Below are 25,386 nucleotides of genomic sequence, written 5' to 3' on the forward strand. Positions count from 1 at the left end.
ATAATTTATACCATATAGTTACTACTGTTTGCAATGTCATCTGTCTCAGCTACACTGAACAAAACACTGAACACAAACGTGCATCTCTACCTATGTATTCAATTCTTATTGACCAGATGCCCTACCACTTATTGCCATTTATTTTCCAGTGTTACAGAGCCTCTAAGAATCAGATTATTTCTTGATAATTTCCATAATCTCTGTTTTTTCTCATGGACTTTTTTTACACCAAGTCAAATTTTTGAAGAAATTTTTGTTTCTTTCTGTTCTGCATATGCTTATGCCTAAAAATATTTCTTTATGTCATCATTATCTTTAGAACTTAATTATTTCATATGCTTCAGATAGCAGTAAATAGTGGCTCTCTCTCTTTTTAGAGTATTTATTCTTGTTATTGTATATTATTTTCAACCTATCTCCTGCAAGTGATACTCTATCTTTACATAAATGTTACATGCAATTTCTTAACCGTGGCTTCATGATTCTTGGATCCAATGACACCTAAGTAAACACTGGGCTGGAGCAGACTTTTATTCTAGGTTGGCTTTACCCAGGAGACAGGCAAGTGTTGGGTTATTAAGGAAGTTGGTAACCTGAGAAACCACTGGATTGCATAGAAAAAGTCCAGTTTCTTTCTGCCCAAGTGGCCATAGGTTACTCACCAGTCAGGCATGGACCTAATGGTCCACTGTTGCTGTTGGGGTTCCTAGGAGGAATATATTAAAAAACAAACAAATAAATAAAAAACCCAACAATAGACAATAACCTAACTGGTAGGGTGGTTCTTAGAATGAAATAAAATTTTTTAAAAAGGCAGACAATGACTTAATGATAGGATTGTTATGGCTGTTATGTAGATTAAGTGAAATAATATAAATTTAATATTTGTTTATTCCTTACCCTGATTTTGAGCTATACAAAATACTAATATCCTAGTGGTTGCTTTGATTTTAAAGTGAATAGCTATGTCTACAGATCTGAAGATCTGAGGTACAATGTTTCAACTGGCATATATATATATATATTTTTTTTTTTTCTTTGAGACAGGCTGCTGGAGTAGTGGTGCGATCTTGGCTCACTGCAGCCTCCGCTTCCCAGGCCCAAGCAATTCTTTAGCCTCAGCCTCTTGAGTAGCTGGAACTACAGGTGCAAGTCATCAACTCCCGGGTAATTTTCGTGTTTTTTTTGTAGAGACAGGGTCTCGCTTTGTTACCTAGTCTGGTCTTGAACTCCTGGCCTCAAGCAATCCTCTCTCCGTGGCCTTCCAAAGTGCTAGGATTACAGGCATGAGCCACCATGGCAGGCCGATACTAATAGTTTCGAACAAACAATTAAGACAAAGTAATATGAGAAAAGATAAGATAAAAGTATGAAAATGTACATGATCACCAGGTAAATTTTATTGATGACCTCATGGCTAGAGTAGGAGGTTTTATAATCCAGCCTTTGCGCACTCATGCTCACTTTTTGAAAAGATTTTTATTCCTTGGTTTTTCCTGCACAAAGACATTCGTACATAGGGGAGAGTATGCAGGGCAGGGAAGAGTAAAATCATATGGCTGGAGTGAGGGAGGACTGACTCACCACCAATTAGTTCACCATTTTTTCAAAAGCTCAGTTAGAATTTAGAAAGTAATTTTGCAAGATTCTGAAATAAATATTTGGATAAAGAAATATAACTCCCTTTCCAGATTTTAAATTATGGAGTCAAACAGATTAGAAGCTACCAGTGATGCAGCACTGTTTATAAAGACAAATATGGTCCAGGGCAACATTTTATACACAATGGGGATATAATTTTGGTGATTATTAAAAAAAAAAAAAACCTCTGAATCACACCTATTTTATTTCCTTTCACTTTTCTAGGAGTATTTTATTAAAATGGTGCTAGTCCTAGAAAGTAGCCTAATATGCCAATTTCCTGACTTGACAAGGCATACCTCAGATTAATTTATGAAATTCCTCCCTTCTGTCTGATTGGGCTGACATGGAATAAAAAAAAAGTATGTGTGAATCTTGAATTATCTGACACAGTTTACAAAAATGTCAGTTGTGCTCAGTCAAATTTTTCTGTAGGGAATTTGAGAGAGGATAGTTCTCTAAGCAGCCTAGAGGCAATAGAAAGGCCTTGGCTGCCTGGGCAAAAGAAATCTGTGAACAGAGATCGTAAAAGATAAGGTCTCCCACTTTAAATTTTACCTGAGGTTGACATTTAAGCCAAACAATACTTGTTGCAAAAAAACTTTACAATGACTTCCCTTTCAACTCATAACTTCATTTTTTAAGTCTCAGAAATCCTATGTTGTTTTATTCTTACACACAAAGTTTCAAAGATTTGTTTAAATAGCATGATCAATAATTAACTTGATTTAATTCACTTAGTGACCTGCAAGGCTATCAGTGGTAGTGTAATTCTGTGAGGCACGAAGAAAGATAACTTTGAGAAGCAGCCTTTGTAACTTTCCCTGAAAGCTAATTTGTCAGCTATTGCCCACAATGTTGATCATTGCATGTGACCAAACAATCCAGGGAGTAATGTATTCAACTTAGGACAAGTATTGAATTTCTCCTTCCTTCCTTTATTCCTCCTACCTACATGGCTTTCCGTAGGCCCTACCCTACCCCCACTGGAAGAGAAAGAAAAAGGGAAGAGGGGGAGAAGAAGAGAGAAAGAACCAAAGCAAATATCAACTTTTTAATTATCTTAAGTAATATTAGATGTTTCAATATTTCATCTCTCATATATATTCATACATATATAAATAACTAAATAGACAAGTATAAAACTGAATTCATACTTGCAGAGAAAAAAAGCAAAAATATATTAGTCTATGCATTAACACTTAGAATTTTAGTTTCTCCCCAGATACCTGGAAAGATAATAGCAAAATAGAAGTACTTGTAATTCTCAAGACATATGTAGGGTCCAATAAAATCCAAAACAGCTTTATATCTATTCTGATAACTGACTTACAGTAGCTAATTTTAATTTATTTATGTTAAATATTAGAAGATACTAATGATTTTGGAATCTTAACTGGTTTTATTTTTAATGTGTGTTGCAGAATATTGTGATCATCAAACATTTTTTGACTTTTCACCTATCTCTGTCTCTGAGCTACATGTTAGGCTTGTCTAGAAGTTCTCGGACAGGATCCAGGATGCAGAGATCAGTTTAGGTCTTAAAATCTTTAAAATAGGGCTGTGCGCGGTGGCTCACGCCTGTAATCCCAACACTTTGGGAGGCCGAGGTGGGTGGATCATGAGGTCAGGATTTCAAGACCAACCTGGCCAAGATAGTGAATTTTCTCTACTAAAAATACAAAAATACAAAGAAAAAGAAATAGCCTGGCGCTGTGGCAGTTGCCTGTAATCCCAGCTACTCAGGAGGCTGAGGCAGGAGAATCGCTTGAACCCGGGCAGCAGAGGTTGCAGTGAGCCGAGATTGCGCCACTGCACTCCAGCCTGGGCAACAGAGTGAGACTCCGTCTAAAAAAAAAAAAAAAAAACTTTAAAATATTTTAATAGATTGTTAATACTTCAAAATAAAAATAGAAAAACTCATATATCACATTTATATCTTAAAAATGAGAGATCTAACAGTGAAGATTTCTACAGAGCAATAATCAGTTACGGTAAAAGTGCAAAAGAAAACATTTTAAAGAAAAAGATAGAAATGACTATTTAAATAAAGTGTATACATCAAATAAGGTAACTGATAAAGTGATAAAGAATATGTTTTTCACGAGTGGAACACAAGGTATTATACTGTATGTATACTCTATACATATTTATGTTATACAAATATGTCTACCTATACGTGTGTGTGTATATATATTATATATGTTTTATAAGTCTGTAAATAATCAGCACGAAAAAGGCAAACAGGAAAATTAAAAAAATATGGGCCGCAGGGATATGCTATTTAAAAATTATATTTTGCAATCATATAAGATGTTTAGTGTTGAGAGTAATGAAAAAATTTCAAGCTAAAACAGCAAAAATAATTTTCTTTTTATTGGCAAAGAATAAATATACATATTTTATTCATTCATATGCATTTGTATTAAGCATTAAATGTATGTTGTATTCAATATTAACAATGGTATAATAGGTAAATACACCCTCCCTTGATCACATACTGCTGGTAAGAGCATATGAGGCATAAACTTTCTGGAGGGCAATTTGGCAATATGTTTATAAAAATTTTTATGTCCTTAACTAGTAAAAGTCTACTCAATAATCAAAGATATTCACAATATTTACATAAAATTTTTTCATGTACAGTGTCATTTTCAATAGTAAAACTGGATATGTACCAAACTTCTAACAATAGGGGATTGATTAAATAATACATAAAGAAATGCAGTGTAACTATTAAAAGTAGTGTTAAAGAATTTAATGACATGGGAAAATGCTCATGGCAGTCTGTGAAGTAAAAAAAAATAAGTGTTTTAAGTGACTATGTATACAATGATTTCATACTGAAAATTAGTAAATAGATAAGATAGAAAAATAAACATCAAAATGTCACCAGTTATCTCTGGTTAGTGTTCATGGGGGAGAGGTATTTATAAATGACTTGTTTTTCTTTTTTTGCTTGTATATAATTTGCAAACTTTCTACAATGAACATTCTATTTTAGTTTTAGACTTTCTTGAGAGAAAAAAAGGAAGAAAAAAAGAAAGTGAGAGGAAGGAAGGAAAGAAGGAAGGAGGGAAGGAAGGAAAGAAGGAAGGGAACGGAAGGAAGGAAGGAAGGATATAATAAAAAAACTGAAGTTCCGGAGGACGCTTTAACTTTGTGTAATGTCTGTGTGGACAGGCTGTGCCCCTCTGTGGTTGAGCTGACAAACAGAGCCCAGGCTACCCTCACCCTGTGGTTTCTTTTGCTTGGAGTAAGCTGTTTAACCCACAATTATATAGTCAGAACTAAAGACATTTCTTTAGTTACTTTCTTTTGAATAACTTTCCTCTAAATAGAAGCAAAATACTACCAAATATCTTTCTGTCATCTCTACCCTTCTTTGGATTAAACTGGGGACTATGTTCAACAAAGTGGAATAGTTCCCTTTTGTTTCCTCATCTTCTACTATCCCCACCCCAATTAGCTAACTTTCATTAGGGTAAATAATTCACTGTTTTGCAGTTACATAGTACCTTTGTGTAAAGGGACAGTCTTTCCAAACAGTTGTTAATCCTAAACACACTCTTGGGAAGTAGGTAAAAATTACTAGAGAGGAAGAAGGAGAAAGGGTAATGCCAAACGTAATAAAAGATGTCAATAAAACCACAGAGCTGTCTCAGTTTTCTGTCCGCCAAAATCTATGTAATGCTGTTAAAAATGAGGATCTATGTTCTGGTGATATTATAGAAAGAAATAACTTGAAGGATATAGTTTTTGGATCTTATATGGATATTTTATAATGTTATGTAAGAGCACAGACCTTGGAGCAAGCTTTTTGGATTCAATCCCCGGCTTTACTATTTACCAGATGCATGATATTGGGCAAGCCATTTAAGATTTTTTGCTTTAGTTTTCTCATCCAGAAAATAGAAAATAATAATAAAATCTAGCATATAGTGTTGTCATAAGGATTAAATGAGGTTATACATGTAAATCATTGAAAACAGTTCCTTGAACATGGTAACTGCTACAAAAATGTTAGCTATTATTAGAAGCTCTAAAATGAAACATTATTTTAAACGAACAAGTTAAAATGAGGCAAAAATTAAAAATTATCACTACATGATTCAACATCAAACTACAGACTTCAGCAAAAAGCAAAAAGCTCCTCATATATTTAATCCTGGGTTAGCAGCAAATGTGTTTAAAGGTTAGAGGTGGTTACTAGCTCACAATTATGACTGAATTGGAATAATATGTTCTATATACAGAATCCTACATGGTCAAGGATATCACCTCCAGAAAAGTTTATCACCATTTGCTTTAACTTAATAAGAGGGGCAATTAAGTTACTATGTAACTGGAATTAGTGAACATACCCAAGTGAGAGCACTGTCAGAATTTAAACCTTCACTGATTGTTTGACCTTGACTGTTTATCCCTGATCTGCTCCATGGGAAAACCATTTTACTGGAGTAAATTGAAAACATCCTTTTCCTTCTTGCCTCCTTATCGTATACTCAATACTGGTGAAACACAAATACAAAAATGTTCATGCTGGTTATGCCATGCTTATACTGTCCATTAAATGACATAATTTGAAAAACTCTCATAACCAAAGCATTTCATTCTCTGTGAGTGTTCAGTAAAGTATCGGTGCTTTTGCAGACCTTGGTACCTGTTTGGTGTTGGACTATTGAACTGGATGAAGATACCAAAGCCGTGGGAGGAGAAGAATACATTACAGAATAGTTTAATTCCTTTCATTTCTAGTGACCGAAATGTAAAAACTGTTTCCCACTGCATTTTATGTTAACACTCCCTGATATATTTCCGCTAATATAAATATGCCTGAAAGGATGACATTTAATTATGTTAATAACTGAATATAAAATCAGGGGTCACTACAAGTTTGTTTTGTTTCATTTCAACTATTTTGCTTTGTATTTACTATGTAGAAGTCATCATTTGAGCAGTATCTGTATCCCCCATTAGATTGAAAGCTCCATAAGGACAGATATGATGAGTTTCATATACATATTTAGGATCTCTAAAAATATTTTTTGAATAAATGAATAACAAATGAGTGAACTAACCTGTTGTCTGAGATTATTAGCCTTCTGAGCGTCCCCTCACAACCTTAGGCATTATATGTCATATTTTATTTCTATCACATTGATAGAGGATTCTTTAATCTATTCATCCTTTCATATAACAAAGACTATTTGTTATTATTAAATATGATGGCATAACTGAGCTTAATACCCCCGCATTATTGTGGTTAGAGGTACGATTAAAGGATGGTGCAAAAGAAGCCTCAAGATGTCTATGTTTCTGCCCCAGGTTACAACCTGTTTTCATCTTGGGTTACAATTTGAATGTGATTTATTTTGCCAAAAAAAGGAGCAATTCTCCCCATTACCATAATGCAAGAAGTCAGGACAGAAGACAGAATATCTGTCCTGAATCAGAGCACTCGGATGAGGAGAGGAGCCAGTCAGAGCCATAGCCCTCATTGCTGGAGATAAATCAGGTTACATGATTAGAGGGAGCATGCAGGACAACTTGGACAGTGCAGAAATCAAGACAGATAGGACCATACCAGAGACAAAAAGTCATACCTAAGTGTTTTCTCTGCTCTTCAAGGCAGCTTAAACTAAAAGTTTCATTAGTACCCTCTATTTGTCTTTTATGAGTTATTTTATATAATCATTATTACTAATACATAAATTTCAGAGGAAGTAGTTACTAGTTCTTACGCCAGAATGCTGTCATTCATTATTAACTAATTCTTATTGTTCTTTCCATTATGTCACCACATAAAGGAATTCTTATAGATATTTTAAGTTTAATTTGAACTCAGTTGAAATTATGTATCAATTCTGTTTGTGATGCTAAAATAACTGAAGGTTTTGTGTACACTTACAAAAACATGTATGCATAAATGAAAAATACATGTTCCTAGAACTACAATCTTTTGGATGGTTTATTTTTGAATACTTTAATGTGTTTCTAATCTTTTTTGTGACAAAAATAATATTCAGAATTAATACATTAGAAAGTAGAGTGTTTCTACATTTCTTAAATTTTATAAATAATATCATGGCTTTTGGTAAGATAGAGATATTTTATTCCACATTAATATTCACATAGAATATGTTAGTTTAGTCTGAAAAATAATACACTAATACCATTAATTCAGTAAAGCCCAATATAAATATTTGCTATCATATCAGTAGAAGTTTTACAAAGATAATTGTTACAGTTTCATACTTACATTGGCATCTTTCCCAGCTAATTTACATAATTCCACCCGTTCCTTTGCAGCAGGCCAATAAATCTGCAAAACATTTCAAAGTATGTTACAACCTGAATATCTGAAACACCCTAACACTCTGCAATTCTGCTCAGAGAGTGAATGTGTGAAATTGAAGAATGAGTATTAAGCATGTTGTTAGAGTCAATGTGGGAAATTTGAGATTTAAATATTTCCCAAAGCCACCCTGAAAGTTTCTAAAAGAAAAGTGTCTAGTACTATCCATTTTTGTGAATCTTCTGGTCTCTATTTTAATGTCTGTAACAGTAGATACATTATGTTCAGAGGTCCATAAGCTTTATCATGATGTCAACAGAATTTCACATGAGCATTTGCCTAAATAAGAGGCTGTATGTACCATGTTTTTCTGTGTTTACTCAGAGTAGTAGTACATTATAAACATGTGCCATGAAGTGTTAGAAACAACTCTCTGTCAGAGCATAACTTCTTTCTCCAAGCCAAGGACCAGTGTGAATTTGTTGACAATATTTAACATGCTTGGAGCTCAGATGCATCTGCCACTTAGCTAAATGTTTTATAAGCATTCTCTTACTTAAATTTCACAATGACCCTCTGAGATGGCTGTACTTATTCTTCCCATTTTGAGATCAGAAAACTTAGTCACATAGCCTTTAAATAACGTGTTGAGGACCACAAAACTTATGGCAGAGCCACAGTCTGACTCAAAGTCCATCTGACTCTTGAACTGGGGGGGTCTCAACCATTACATAAGTCAAGGGCTCCAAACTCATTGGTTGATAGCTTTCAATTATGCTTCACGATCTTGAGTTCAAGGCTTTTTTCTTTCTTTTAAATTCTGTCAGGAAGTTTTTGTAGGAATTCTGTAAGAAAGTTTTTGCAAAATAAATTTTAAGCAGTTATGTAACTCCATTAGCTTACAGAAAGAAATGCTCTCTGTTAAGCTATAAGCAAGAAGGAACAAGAAAAGCAAGCTCTAAAATACTTATAATATATGCTCCAGGAGTTCCCGATAGACTTTTATTATGTTTCTCACCAATGGTAGCAGAAAATATTTTAATAGGTGACAAAAAAAGAAAATATCCTGAGGGAATACACTGAAAGAGACTTGTTAAACCTGGAATTAACAAAGGATTTAGAAGTCATCAATGTTTATATGATATTATCTTTGTGGTGAAATTTTAGGGTTTTATGTCTCTAAATAAAGAACACAGTATAGCATTCAAAATAGACAAATACAATGAAATTATTGAGATTTTAAACCGGAGCAAGATTGTTTACTTAGAGAAGATCTTAACATTCACAAATTACAATCCAGATATGTATATAGGCAGGTGGTGGAGGCAGCAGAGGCTCAAGTGATCAGCTAACCTTGATAAGGTACACAATGCCGACTAGAAAATGCTATTTATTCAGAAATGGTTTGAATCACTGTAGTTCTACTATCACACAACTTTAAATAGTAGCCAGCAGTCAAATATCAGTGAGCTGCAGCAATGAAAAGCAATATGAATGGAAATTAGCAACTCATTATTAGGTCTAAAAAGAATATCTCCTCAAATTGCAAACCGCACATCTTGCTTTAGAATAAAGTTAAAAGCAACTAAAATAAAATGGTTACATTTCAGGTGTATAGGTGGGTGGATTTAGAAAAATGGCCAGCCAAAATGGGAAACGAGGGGAAGGATGACTTGGAGGTAAGAAACAGGTTATTTACCAGATTCTAGCATTTGTGCTTGAGGGTGCATTTTTCACGTGTTTAACAACATAATTAAGAAAAAGAGAATAATGTAAGTTAGTAAATAGATTAACTAAAGTGGGCAATGCATGGACCAATGGACAATGGTTAGTCATAAACCCAGAATCGTGAAGCCATAACTCAATAATCCAGATGGAACACTGCAGCTGGCCCAAAATTGGAACGTTTCTTCAAATGTTGTTTGTTTGTTATTTTTGTTCTGGTTGTTCCTTTGTTATTCATCATTGCTGGCAAAAATACTGGACTGAGTGCTTCTTAAAAATTGCATCGGCCGGGCGCGGTGGCTCACGCCTGTAATCCCAGCATTTTGGGAGGCCGAGGCGGGCGGATCACGAGGTCAGGAGATCGAGACCATCCTGGCTAACACGGTGAAACCCCGTCTCTACTAAAAATACAAAAAAAAATTAGCCGGGCGTGGTGGCGGGCGCCTGTAGTCCCAGCTACTCGGGAGGCTGAGGCAGGAGAATGGCGTGAACCCGGGAGGCGGAGCTTGCAGTGAGCCGAGATCGCGCCACTGCACTCCAGCCTGGGCGACAGAGCGAGACTCCGTCTCAAAAAAAAAAAATTGCATCGGCCGGGGGTGGTGGCTCACGCCTCTAATCCCAGCACTTTGGGAGGCTGAGGCAGGCAGATCACGAGGTCAGGAGATCGAGACGATCCTGGCCAACACAGTGAAACTCTGTCTCTATTAAAAATACAAAAAATTAGCCTGGCGTGGTGGCAGGTGCCTGTGGTCCCAGCTACTTGGGAGGCTGAGGCAGGAGAATGGCGTGAACCCGGGAGGTGGAGCTTGCAGTGAGAGGAGATCGCGCCACTGCACCCCAGCCTGGGCGACAGAGCGAGACTCCATCTCAAAAGAAAAAAAAAAAATTGCATCTTGAATTCAGAGTCTTTGCTTTAGATATGAGCTTATGAACTCTCAAGGTATCCTCTCACTTTTTCCCCCCTCCACTGGTCCAATTTTATTATTATTTTTAATTTTGGTTAAAAACGCATAACATAAAATTTACCATTTTAACAATTTTCAGTGTAGAATTCAGTAATGTTAAGTATATTTACATTGTTGTGCAGCCAATCTCTAGAACTTTTTCATCTTGCAAAAGTGAAATGCTGTACTTGCTGGTTCTTCAATAATACAGTGATTTTACAAAGGACAACTTTATATCATTGGACTGAAAATAGTACACAGAATACTTTTCCATAACCTGTCAATTGATTTAATATTTTTAATGCACTCAAAATATATTTATTGATGCAGACCTTGTGCCTAGGAAAGGTTTTTTTTTTCAATAATATTTTCTTTTTTTTTCCTTTCTTTTTAACTTTTACTTTTAAGTTCAGAGGTACAAGTGCAGGTTTGTTACACAGGTAAACTTGTGTCATGAGGCTTTCTTGTAAAGATTGTTTCTTCACCCAGGTATTAAGCCTAGTACACGTTAGTTATTTTTTCTGATTCTCTCCCACCTTCCACCCTCCACACTCCAAAATGTCCCACCGTGTGTTGTTCCCCTCTCTATATATCCATGTATTCTCATCAGTTAGCTCCTACTTATAAGTGATGAGAACACATGGACACATAGAAGTCCATTTTGTAAGTATTTGGCTTTCTGTTCCTGTGTTAGTTTGCTAAGGGTAATGGCCTCCAACTCCATTCATGTTTCTGCAAAGGACATGGTCTGTTTCTTTTTTTTATGGCTGGGTAGTATTCCATAGTGTACATGTACCACATTTTCTTTATCCAGTCTACCACTGATGGGCGTTTAGGTTGATTCCATGTCTTTGCTATGTTGCCAGATTAATATTTCTTTGAATCATTTCAGCATGTAAGATCCTGTTCTTTTTTTGTTTGTTTTAGATGATAATCAGGTTTAATCACATTTAAGGAATACATGTAGGGCAAATATCTATAGATTTTTTCAAAATTACATATCATACAAATAATAATGTAGGAAACAAAAAAATATATAACTCTTTCATATTAAGTAAATGAGTCTTAAAAAGGATAAAGGCCATCACAGGGTTTTATTTTTTACTTCAAATCATAGTATTGGGTGATTGAGTTAAATTAAATTATGAGATAAATGATGCCTCCAAAATTAAATGTGAATATATTCACTAGTGCTTCTAAGAGGAGGGGCTTATTTAAAGAATGACAAAATGTGGAAGCACTCTTTATATCGTTTTTGAAACCTAAATAAAAGTTTCAAAGTTAGCACCAAGTAGTTACTCTTCATTAACTATTTGTTCATTAGACATATAATTATGAAAGGCCTTCTGTATGTCAGCCAAGGCATCAAATTGAGGTGCTTGGGTCTGAGTTAGGATGGGAGATACAGAGTGACAAGAGAGTACACGGGATGAAATCACCGTGCCCAGGGAGCACTGTGGAGCGCTTACTGGCAGTCTCTACTTTTGATCCTCTGTTTTAAAGTACTTGCTCTTAATAGTTTCAACTCTAATATAATAGTTTGGTTTAGCTAGATGGTTTCAACTCTAATTTTGTCTCAGGGACTTGACACTAAAATAGCAATTGCACATATATTCTCTTTGTAAAGGAATACAAATCTGTAAAAGATGCTTTAATGTTTTTGTTGTACATTTTCAGTTATTGCTTATAAGTCACATAATTGTAATTTGAGTTGCACCATCCTAGTTGATGAAGCCATACAACTAATTACAAGCTTCAGAGAACTGACTTTTTGATTAGCAAGTAAATGTTATATACAAGCACAGGGATTATGAGCTAGGATCACAAAGAAAATTTTACTTCTTAAAGTAAAATTAAAACCTTCAAAAATAAGGATTTATTGAAATTATACATTGGCTTATTTTGACACAATGCTGCCAAGGTTTAGTCATCACTAACAGAATTACCTTAAGCAAAAACAACCTATGATATATCTGATTGTCTTTTAGACTCTAAACATTTACTTAGAAGGGAAAAATAGTCATTATAGCTGTGTCAATATTGAAAAGATGTCAGTTTAATTATGATTTGTGGTGGATTTTTTTTCTTACATACTACCTAGTCATTAAAGAGATTTTTTTTAAATATTCATTTTTATTCCTAATTGATAAAGAATTTAAAGAGACAGAATTTCCCTTAATTCAATCTAAAAACACGAAAAACAAGACAAAATCATTTTTAAAGATCCGCTCTTATTCTTACATAGAATTGGCAAAATTTTCAATAATCTTTTGAAGTGTTATATGTATATATATATCACATTATATATAATCTTTATATAATGCGATATATAATGTACAATATACGCACATATATAACAGCATTCCACTATTTTCATATTTTTCTAGTCTCTTTCTCTCTCTCTCTCTCCGTGTGTGTGTGTGTGTGTGTGTGTGTGTGTGTATAGATGCATGTGGAGGGGGAAAATAGTAAGAGAGAGAAAGACAGAGACACACGCAGTTATATAAAGGGAAAAATAGAGATGTCAACTATAGGGTCATTGGGTATAGAATAAGATATGTTTCACATACAGGCTGAAGTTCCAGCATTGTTGTACAAGAGCCCAAGAGGTACCTGTGTTCCTTGGATTATTTTAGTGGCCTAGTCAGTACACTTTGAGATTGCGTCACTATTAGACAAAAGTCACACCATATAGTTAAAAATATAATGTCCACATTATCTATTAAAAGTCAGCCCTCAGGATCAATAGTTAATATGAACAATTTTGAGACAGTGATTATTAATATTCTTACTGCCTTTTGAATTTATCAGCAATAAAATGCCACATAAATCTTCTTACACTGTAGTGTGTCTTGCACACAGTATCCTGACATATTAAAAGTTGCATGAAACAGCACACAACAAAGCACATGGCCCTGTTTCTAAAAGCTGATGCAACCGTATTTGTCCTTTAGAAAGTCATCCACAGATATTTTTCCTTCACTTATCAAAGAGAGTCATACCAGAAACAGAGATGCCATTGCCTAATGGCCAGATTTTAATTGCTCTGAAATATTCCCACAAAACACTAATTCTTAACTAACCTTGTGCTGATGCACCAGATACAGATTTTAAGGATATAATTTTGGTGGGTTGTGGTCTTTGGGACCTTAGAGCCTTGATATCAAGGACTGCAAATATGCAGAGAGCTTACTGTTGCTGTCTACCCACGTGCAGGAGACATCAGAAATCAAACGGAGATCTTTTCTGTGGATCCAGAAGAACCTAAGAATTCCTCTCAACTTACTTATTCAGGGTATAGCTAGTAATTGAACAATTATTAAACAATACTTGCAAATTGGTTTTAATTTGAGTGCTAATTCTTACAGATCTAGTTGATAACAGAAAACTGGCAAACAGAAGTAAATAAATTTATAAAATGTCTTCACTTGGAAATAAGAGTTTATGGGTCAACACTGTTAAACAAGTATGTCTCATAAGCCAGTCCTCATATTCTATAATTTACTGACCCATATTAGTATATTTATGTTGCCTTTATAGTATTTCACAATTGATTATTTCCAAAGGATTAATTTTTTCATGCTAACCTTGGAAGGCTCAAATATTATTATCTAAACATATATCTGTATATTTTCTTTTAGAGTTGTATAGCTTACTAGTATGAAAAGAGACCATATTATTGAAATAAAAATTGTCTTCAGTGCCTCCTTAAATAGGCTTTGTGCATAAAGTTATAGTTTAAACATATTCTTAAAAAGATTTAATAATACTTTTTTATGTAAATATAGTGTAAACTGTCTGAATTTATATTGATTTTATTTACTTTTCTCTGTCCAAAATCCAAAACAACTTTTTGTCCTTTTAATATTATTTTTACTTCATTTTGAAAAAATACTTAGAAGGGACTCATAAAATATTGCAGTATCCCTAACAATTGTTGTTTCACTTATCTTTTAGTAAGGTGAAAATGTCAGACAATTAATTTTTAATTATTCAGTGTTAGGCAAGTTACAGAAACATTCAAATAATGATAAGACTTTATAACAACATCCAAAGGAAATTCTAATTATATCTGCTCTTTGTTTCATCTTTGGAGAAGCAATTTAATTGACTCAAGTTAGCAAGTGCAAGGTCAGTCAAATGCCCCTCAGCCTAATTCAGAGATGTCAAAACAACTGAATGAGACACACAAAAGGAAGTTGAAACTTATTCATAAAAACCTAATTAAAGACAAAAATTCAGAACCCTTGAGATAGTGGCCATCTCTTTCAAAAAACAGGATACAAGTTTTTAAATGGCTTTAAAGAAAAAAATGTCACTCTGAATGCTATATGATACAAGGATTTGAACAACTAAAAGAGCAATGGTTACTCTGGGTTCCCAGGACAGGGAGGTGTTTTCCTGTTGCAAAACAAGAGCAACAGCGCCAAAGGTAAAGCTTGCGCAGTGGGTATTGGCCTGGCCTAGATAGAAATTGTTACAGAAGGGAAGTTTAATTCTCCATTTTTGTTTTGTTTTGTTTTGTTTTAGATTTTTATATAAGGGCAGGCCTACAAATTTTCCAAGAAAATGTGCTTCAATACAGAAGATGGAGTTCCAGGCAAAGTCTAAAGTGGTCTTTTCCATGATTTTTCTGCATGAAGCCTTGGGTGACAATTGTCTTTCCCTTTCCCTTTTCCCGACTCAGCTCAGAAGCCTCGCTTGCATTTTAGCTTTCTTCCACGAATCATCTCTGTCTTCTACTACACTTTTGCTTATCACATCCATTTGCACTTTCTTTTTCAAAAGTAAGTTTAGTTTGAGACCTTTTTCCAGGTGTAAAGATCAATTAAATGCAGTGCAATCAGAACACGTGAATGTGAGTCCCTACTGCATCGCCGCTTGGTTTGTGACCTTAGGTAGGTGTGAATCTCAGCAGCCCAGCCTTAAAACACAAATCATCTCCACCAAGTTAATACTCATTTGAAAGAAACTTGCAGTAAACATTTCTTGAGCTTTTTTGTGTATGCCAGCTAATGCTGCTCTTTAAAATAATACTTCATTATTATCTTCTAGGTAGAGCTTGTTCTACCTAAAATACATCTGACCTCTTCTAGATGATCCCTTCTTATAAATACCTGTCAATTTTATTATCATCTCCCCAGAAAGGTCTTTTCTAATAACCAATCTGAAGTAGTTTCCCAGGAACACCACACATTTTTTAACATAATACTTCGCAATAAGTGCTATTTTGTTTCCTTTTCTCCATTAACTCTCTATTCCCAAATTGAAGACACTATGAGCATGAATGTCTGACCTGTTTTATTTTTCACTATATTCTCAGCATCTAGAAGAGTATCAGGAATATAGTAGAACCTCAATAAATATGTATTGCAAGGCCGGGTGCCATGGCTCATGCCCTGTAATCCTAGCACTTTGGGATTACAAGTGAGGTGGGCAGATTTCATGAACCCAGAAGTTTGAGACCAGACTGGGCAACATGGCAACACTCTGTCTCTATGAAAAATAATAATAATAAAGTTAGCTGGGCATGGTGACAAGCACCTGTAGTCCCAACTACTCAGGAGGCTGAGGTGAGAGGATTGTTTGAGCCCAAGAAGTTAAGGCTGCAGTAAGCCGAGATCACATCACTGCAGTCCAGCCTGGGTGACAGGAGTGCGAACCTATCTCATAAAACAAACAAACAAAAAAACACCTACAAATATGTATTGCATGAAAGAGAGAGAAATGCTAATATACCATACAAATTAATATAAATCTAAGAAGTCCACAAATGGTCAGTAATTTAGAACCTGTGGTCCAATTACTCTTGCGGATGGACTTCAAACTTTTGTAGTGAATACTATTCAACACCTCTAATCCATGACTTACTGAAGTTTAGTAAGCACTGATGTCTGGTGTCAAGGAACATTGCTTTTTCTTCCTACCACCTTTAGCACCTGGCACAGAATCTGGCATGGTGAGCGCTCAATAATTATTCTTTGAAAAGTAATCTGCAGAGTTTCCCATAGAATTGGACACAGAGAAGGAGTTCTTGTGAGAGTTCTGGCGAGGTCTGAGCAGTCTGACAACATCCTGACAGTCCATTACAGTAACCAGATGGGACCTGCACATCAGCACCCGGGCTAGGGAGCCAGCACATCCATGAACGAGTCGATTGTTTTAGCTCTGTGATTACTAGACAGCATATGCTCGGCAGGCAATGGAAACAGATTAATCACATGAAACTAAGCAGGGTGTCTTATAGCAAAAGTTAATTTATTAGGATGTCCACATGCTTTCCAAGTATTTCTATTTTCTTAATTTCAAGTATTAAATAAGAATTAAAAGACTGATGATTTTGTTTTACAAATAATTTGATTTTAAGTGAGAAGGTTATTTATTCTTTTCTTTTCCCACTATGTAATAGACTTCTTAGAAGCTAAAGCATTAGACAGAAATGTCTTACTCAGCCATAGAGTAAGTTAATAGAACTGGAGTCAGAACATCATTCTGATTTATAATAGTATTTTTGCTTATACTTAATATCAAACAAGCAAGTGTAGAGTCCTCATGTATCAAAACTCTTGTTCTAGACTTCCTTAAAGAAAGGGAAATAACAAAGCTCTTTTTATGTTAGACAAAGAAGGGTGTTTAAATATTCCACTGGAAATTATTATATGTAAAATTATAAATTCATTTAGGTTAGTTATTTTCACAATATAAATGCTCAAACATAAAGGTGTAGCATTATGGATTTCAAGTAATCTTTACAATTACATGCAAAAAGAAAGAAGAAAGAGAAAGAAAGAAACGAAAAGAGAAAAGGAAAGAAAGAAAGAGAGAGAGAAAGGAAGGAAGGAAGGAGAGAAAGAGAAAGAGAGAGAAAGAGAGAGGGAGAGAGGGAGGGAGGGAAAGAAGGAAGGAAGGAGGGAAGGAAGGAAGGAAGGAGGGAAGGAAGGAAGGAAGGAAAGAAGGAAGGAAGGAAGAGAAGGAGGGAGGGAGGGAAGGAAGGGAAGGAAGGAGAAAGAGAGAAAGAAAGCCAACAAATAAATGCTTGAATAATATAGACACAAAAGCAGTACTCAGCTTGGTAAGCCATACGTCATTCTCTTTGTGACCCTTTGCTTGCATCCTGGTTTAGAGACTTGTTCCATCCCTGCAGGTTTGAACCGCTTCCAAAATAAGTAACATTTTCATATGGAAGGATCCCAACAATTCATTAACTCAAAAGTCCAACTAAGTAACATAACCAAACAGAGAGTATTGCATATTTTTTTTTACCATCAACTATGACTCCATTAAAAAAAAAAGAGTGAGAAAGAGGGAGGGGAAGACTTTCAGCTTGTATACATTATTCTTGAAGTTTACATAGAGAGGGCTCTGGATTTTATATGAATTATTACTAGGACTACTTAAGGCTGGCTGAAGTAGAGAATGTTCACTTGTAGTCAAACTGACAGTTACTATGTCGTTTCGAATAATTTGTTTAGAAACCGTGGGTCCTTAAACCATATTGTACAAATGTCAAACACATTCATTATTATAATGTCTACACTGAACAGGCTTCTAATGCATCACTTGTAAATGAATGATAAATAGATATAAATGTCTATTCACAGTTGGCCACCTTTCCGAAGGACTATTAAAGTTCTTCTTTTATATACTTTCTCTGACTCAGGAGATAGAGTAGGATGTTAAGGGCTGGGGCAGGAAAATGCAGCTCCCTTAATTTAAACTATGAGAAATCTACATACAATCACTTCTGGCCTTTTGGCTAAGATCAAGTGAAAAATCTGCATACAGAATAGACAATAGACTCTTTTCTGCTCCATTTCTCAAACATATTTTTCCCCATTCGAACTGAACAACAAGGAAACAACAAACCCCAAGTTCCAAATTTAAATGCAAACATTTTAGATTAACCAGTTAACATTAATCCAAATTTTACTCATCCGTCTTGTACTAGTTCAAAACCATGAACAACATGTAGTTGTTTTCCTCTCTCTGTATTTCTACCATATGTGATCTGTCTCATTATTTTGGACATTTAAAATTTTCTAACTTTCCTTGTAACTGTATTATGCCTTGTCTCCCTAACTAAGATTAGAGCAATGACAAGATCTGAGTTTTATATTCTATTACAATATGCTTAGTGCTAATAATAGATACTCAATGGATTTTTGTTGAACTAAATGAAAAAGAAATGCTGGCTCAAGTAGAAGGGCAAAAGAAAAAAATATTCAAAGTGTAGTCACTTATAAAGTATCCCAAGTTTTATTTCTATAATGCATATAAGTTGTTTCGGCTGCAGAGACTGACAAAACCAAACCAATAAAAGTGGCATTATTTTATGTATAATTACACTAAGATATATATTAAATGATGCTTAAGTCATATTTAGTTATTTGATTTTTTAAAAAATATGTTTTCTGTACATTAACTATTTAGTGAATAATGCTAAATACTATGACTATAGAATAACATATTATGTAAGTCTTTGAACCAAGTTATAAGACACTCTTTCTTATCAATGTCACACCCCTAAAACAGTCAAAATACTAAAGGGAGAAAACTTATATGTTTTCAACATAATTAAAGAGATTTGCAGCAGACCAGATTTCATGAAGTTTATATTAAATCATGAATCGAGAAAACTTTTGCAGAGGCAAATAAACTCTTGTACAAGCAAAATAATTATTTATGAGGATTAGCAGATTTTTCAATTTTTACTACACAAGATGAAAAAAATACTGGAAACAAATACTTTCCAAGGCTATCTACTGAAAGAAAAATAAATTCTTCCAGATAATTTTCTTGTAGAACTAGCTAATCTTTGTAAGTCTTTCCAAATAGGCAATATATATACCTCTTTTTGTTTGGCTGAGAAAACTTTTATGTTTCCCTTGGGTTACCTTTGTTAAATTGAAAAAGAAAAAATCAGTCTTCTAAGTCAATTAATTTTTAAAGAAAGTTTGTTTTCTGTTCCCTCTGTAAGTGTAGTATTCAAAGTGTTTCGTTCCTAAATATTCCTTCAACTTGAGGTGACTGATATCAGCAACTTATAGTTACCCTCCTTTCCTTGCAAGTTTGAGAGTTGAAACTAATATATTTCTGGCCAACGAGATGAAAGAGAGGGTTTTGCAAAGTTTTTTTGCTCCTAAAAAAGAGATATAAGTGATGATCTATTGTTCCATTTGTATTTCTTTGTCTGGATGTGACCCATGAAGACTGTGGCAGCCATCTTGCTACCAACCTAAAGATAATGCCAATCCCAAGAGTGGCCGACAGAGAAAGAACCGGGTCCTCGATAACATCATTAAGCAGATGATATTTTCATCTTTGTAGTCACTCAAACTCTGAACATATTCATATTATATAACAAATTTTCTTATTTTTAAGCCAAATTCAGGTGTCTTTTATTCTGTTAGCTATCTATTCCACGCTAATTGATAAAAGTAATATAGTGGTTTCTTACTCAAAAAAGGAAAACTAACAAAATCACAAATTCAAAATTTAAAGAAACACACTACTTAGTGTATTTTATGTATCAGACATTGTGCAATGCACTAAAAGAGAATCAGAAGTGCATAAAAATCATCCCCTTATTCAAGGAATGTATAATGTGGATGAAGGCATACTGACACAAATGAATACTGACAACACTATCAGCTAGGACATCTGACATTGGCATAAATATATAAAATGCTCCTGTAAACGTGAAGAACACTTAAATTTCCCGAGGGTGAGGTGAAGCCTTGGAGAGCAAAAGGTGAAAAAAATATAATTCGATAAAGCCTTTCAAGAATGAAGAGCAGTGAAATGAGCAAGAAAGTGAAATCCAGGAAGTTTTAGAAAAGACACAGAACTTGATAGTAAATTATCTATTTTATGAAGAATAAACAGGGTGCTTTGAGTAAAGGAGAAAGAGAGGGTGGGGAGAGAGAAGCAGAAAATAGAGTGCATGTGAGAGAACAATGAATAGTTAACAGTGAGACTGGAAACAGGGTTGCAATGGGCTAGGAAGAGCCTTAGAAGTCAATACTAAGAAGCCTGGAGTTTATTCAAGTTCCTAAGAAAAACTGCCAGAGTTGTACAAGTGAGTGAGATACATTCAGACTTTTAATTTTGTGACGATAACTCTTACCGTTGTGGTGAACAGATTAGATAGGAGAAAAGGATAAACTAAGTTAAAAATGGTATTATCACTCACACTAGAAAAATATATTGAAATATTTGCCACATTATCAGCTTGGCCTGTCAGCTGAGGCTTTTGCTGGGGCTACGTCACAGCTCAATTCTCCCTTTGCCTAATACTGCTTCCTAGCTTTCCTCCCACTGGGCTGATTCCAAGAACACTCACTTATGAGCTAATCTTCATCTCAGAGTTGGCTTCTGGAGAAACTGAACCTACAACAAAAGTGTCATAACTGGTAAATACAGTTCTTGATCCATGTCCTTCTCTTACAATGTGATCACTTCTGGTTCTGATTGTTCCATTTTGATCTAGTGTTGGGGGAATGGACTGTCAAATCAATGGGCATCATCTTTCCAGACCCCGTCCCAGAGAAGGAGTCCACGAGTATTCCCTAGCCGAAGAGAGGCCTTACGGACCAACTTTGGAATCGTTAAGCTTCGGGATAGTTAAGTTGTGAGGTGTCACATCCTTGCAATGTGTGCTTATACTTGCTTTTAAGTCTAAGTCCCTATAGAAATAGTCCTTCCTCTCAAAAAAATTTTCAAAAAAGACAAAAGGTCATAATATCATCCATCTTCTTTTAATACCAGAGAATTTAAAAAACAAAGAAATAAAAAACAACTCAGTCTACTTAATTTTTATTTTCTAGATAGTGGAAATGTTCCCCAAAAATCTAATTAATTTTGACTTTCTTCCTCTGCAATCATTTATTTGTCAAATATTTACTAATTATATACCTGCGCTATTCACTCTAGTAGACTCAAAATCTAGTCTAAACAAGAGTAAAGATAGTAAAAAGATATTATTAAATGATTATTACAAAATGAATTTTGTGAAGGATTTTGCTATAATTTCTGGTGATTCTGCACTAAATGCCCATGGCAAATATGAATGATAATGGCCTTTTTTTCAGTAGGCACAGCCTTGTTTGTACAAAACCTCCAAGTTCACATATATTGCAAATTTTGCTAACTTCAATTGAGTATTTTCTACAGATTTTTTTTTTAACTTTCCAAGGGAAAAAAAAATCCCAACCAGTCACTGATAACTCAATTATATGTTGTAGATTGCTTTAACCCTAAAGAGTACAAAGGACAGCCTTCAGCCCCTCAGAGTCCCAACATGTGTGGTTTCCTCCGCAAAAGAGTTTGGATCTTTGCCGAGGGGCACTGAGCCAATGAAAACCAAGTGGGTCTAAACCTAAAGTACTGCATTTTGACACTTATGTGCTACTGTGGAGTATCTTTAGCAATAGAGTGATTTATATAAATTGGAATGGTGGATACCTATATAACATAAATTATTACCTTTGCATACATAATCCCCTTATGAATTATACATTTTATAGAGATATAAAGAAATATCAGTTATGTAGATAACATCTAATTTCATAATGTATTCAAACAACTTTATTTTAATAATATCATAAGATAAATTGATACTTCATAAACATTTACTTTTTAAAATATTAGCACATTTCATGCATGGAACATCGCCAAAGAGAGATTTGCTTAAAATAGTCACAGCAGGAAGTTATAAGAATTTATTTTAAGCAATGATCTAATACACTCAGTTCAGATAAAGGGAATTTTTCTTCCAATCCCTGAAGGCAGAGAACAGAACAAGAACAAATTCCCTTAAAAGTATGAATTGCTTTTTGCTAGTATGGTAAAACTGAGACATATTTGGAAAAAATGCCTTTTAAGCTATGCAGCATCTCTTAAAGCAAAATTGCAAAGTTAGCTAAGATTTTTTTCCTTGGCCACTTTCATAAAACACGTCATCCCCTGCTAAGATATTTACTGAAAATTAAGATGTTACTTGATGCCATCAATTGGCTCGTACTAGGAGTATGAGTATTTTTAAAAGAAATTCCTGAAGAAAAAAATACAGCCTTAAGAAAAAAATGGAATGGAGCTATAATTTTAGATTAGAATGGAGGACAAACTTTCAAATTCTAGTACATAATCAACTGCTTATTTTATTTTATGTTAAACAATATCCAGGCTACCAGATACTTTAATTTTTTTAAAGATAATCATATGAGGTTTTTAGTGTGTTTGGATTAACAGAAGTCAAAAACAATTGCTAGCAGTATTTTAGCCCTCATTTTTTCATCCAAAAACACAGATTACATGAAATGTATGTGTATACATTTGCAGAAATAATTTCTTTATTAAGTATGAGCCTTTATAAGAAATAACTCCTTTTCCTTTGGTAGGCCTTAAAAATGTGTGAAAGAATTACTTAAAAGTTAATTGACTAAAAACCAAATATCATTGTTCTATTTCAGAAGTGAAGTAATATTACTACATATGAAGATAAATATTTTGTGTAGACTAAAGCCCTGAGAACAAATAATTCTAAAATAATTGAACAACTGATATTTGGCTATTAAATCTCACAATTAGAGGGTTAAAGTGGTCATTGTAGATTAATACTGTATGTAGCTTCAAAGTCCAAAGTCCTAGGATGGCCTATAAATAATTCTCTTTGAAGAAGAAGAACTCAATATTGGTAACTATTGGATTTAAACCGTGCAACTGCTCCTAATCTTTTTTTTCAATACTTCTGACAAAGATGGGTTAAAAAGACAATAGAAGATGTTTCAAAGATGCAGAAGAGATCTGATATTATGTAATCTTATCAGCCACTCGATCTCTGCCAGTCTTAGCATCTATCTCTGCTTGCATAGATATTGATATTTGCTAAAGTACTAGTTAATAGACAATGTCTAAAGTGTGGCACCCTTTCCTCCGGGTTTCACACTGGTGGTTGAAAATGTAGGACATAGTAGTAATTGCCTTAAGAATTTTAAAGTACTAGTGTATGTTTCTTTGTCATGGTGAGATTGTCTTAATGAACCCATAGTTGGGGAATTATTTATCTTTACTTGCTGAGAGTGATTGACTTGTAGGAGAAACCTGTTCAGATGTGAAATGAGAGTTTGGAAAAAGCAGTATGGTGTTTGTTATTATAGCCACATTATCATTTGAAAGTATGCTTATTTGTGAACTGAAAGTTAATAAAATTTAATTTTACAACTATTGTTAGGATATAAATATTCATTCTTGATGTATAACTAATTTGTCATTTCTTCAGTCTCAAACTTTCCATTTCTATTATATGGCCTAGTGTATATTAACTAATTTTTTATGTTTTCATTTATATTTTCAAAGCTTTTATTATATTTATTCACTCTAAATAAAGAACATGCATATGTACTTAAATCCATAAAAATCCAGAATGTGTATCAGAGGCAATATATTCTTTATGCTGCTTTTTGACATGTATGTGATGCACTGCATTTGACACTGTGTCCCTTAAAACAAAGCAAAACAAAACGGGAGAAGAAGAGAGATGAAAATAAATGAATTTAACCAAATGTATATATAAATATACTGACCTTCTTAAAATTTTTGTTTAAGTCAACCAGACTGAGTAGAAAGATGTGGTCTTTGGCTCCCAAGAGCAGCCTGCCTCTTTCCTCATCTAAGAGAAGAGTTTGAAAATCCAGTCCTTCTGATGAACCCAAAAAGGGAATACAGCTATTTGAAAGCAGCAAGTCTATGGAAAGCAAAAAAAGAAAAGAAAGGAGAAAGAAAAAAGAAAGAAAGAAAGAGAAAGAAAGGAGAGAAAGAAGAAAGAAAAAGAAAGGAAAGAGAGAAAAGGAAAGAAAAAGAAAGAAAGAAAAAAGAAAGAAAGAAAGAGAAAGAAAGAAAGAATTAGTAATAGGCAAAATATTTACTTGCCTAAATATACATATTGTCCCACTTTGTAAATGAATACATACAGCATAAAAGGGCCAATATAGCTATATGTAATTACAGTTTTCAACGTAATTATTTAGAAATAGATGTAATATATTATATTTGTACCTTAACACAATATTTATGTGTGAAAAACACACAGTATTAAAATGAATAAAAAACATGTAAATATACAAAAAATTAAATACGAAATATTTTACAACCCTGTGTTCACATTCTTAAATTATCATTTAAAGCATCTATATATATTAATATTTGCAAATCTATAAAATTAATTAATGTATACAAAGTAAACATCAAATCAAGTGTATCATAAATCTCTTAGCATTTTTTTCTACTTTTTAAAAAATACACTTTTTTTGGAGCGGTTTTAGGCTTATAGCAAAACTGAGAGGGAGATACAGAAATTTCCTGTATACTTCTTGCCCCACACATTCATAGCTTCTCCCATCATCAGCATCCCCCACCTCAGTGTTATAATTATTACAATCAATAAACCTACACTGGCACATATTAATCTTCCAAACTTTATAGTTTAGGGTTTAATTTTGGTGTTGTATATTTTATATATTTCAACAAAGGAATGATGACAAGTATCAACCATTGTAGTATCATATAGACTACTTCCACTGCCTTAAAAATTGTCTGTGCTCCACCTATTCATCCTTCTCCCCCACCCCTCCCCGTGGCAATCACTAATTTTTTTACTGTCTCCAAAGTTTAGCTTGTTATAGGATGTCACATAGTTTAAACCATACATATGTTGCCTTTGCAGATTGGCTTCTTTCACTTAGTAATATGCATTTAAGTTTGCTCCATGTTTTCATGGCT

At 34.1% G+C, this 25,386-nt stretch overlaps 1 protein-coding gene across 7 annotated transcripts in view; it reads right to left on the reverse strand.

Annotated features, from left to right (window-relative positions):
* SEMA3D (semaphorin 3D) overlaps nt 1–25,386 on the reverse strand; it is a 254,691-nt gene that overhangs the window by 78,061 nt on the left and 151,244 nt on the right. For 6 of the 7 annotated variants that reach the window (NM_001384901.1, NM_001384903.1, NM_001384902.1 and 3 more), the window contains 2 exons: nt 24,192–24,352; nt 7,904–7,966 (listed from right to left, as the gene is read on the reverse strand). In NM_001384901.1, the coding sequence (NP_001371830.1) occupies nt 7,904–7,966; nt 24,192–24,352 (224 nt within the window). The remainder of the gene's footprint in view (nt 1–7,903; nt 7,967–24,191; nt 24,353–25,386) is intronic. The other variant, XM_047420049.1, reaches the window with a different exon arrangement.

This window comes from Homo sapiens, chromosome 7 (assembly GCF_000001405.40).
Source record: "Homo sapiens chromosome 7, GRCh38.p14 Primary Assembly".
Classification (NCBI taxonomy): Eukaryota; Metazoa; Chordata; class Mammalia; order Primates; family Hominidae; genus Homo; species Homo sapiens.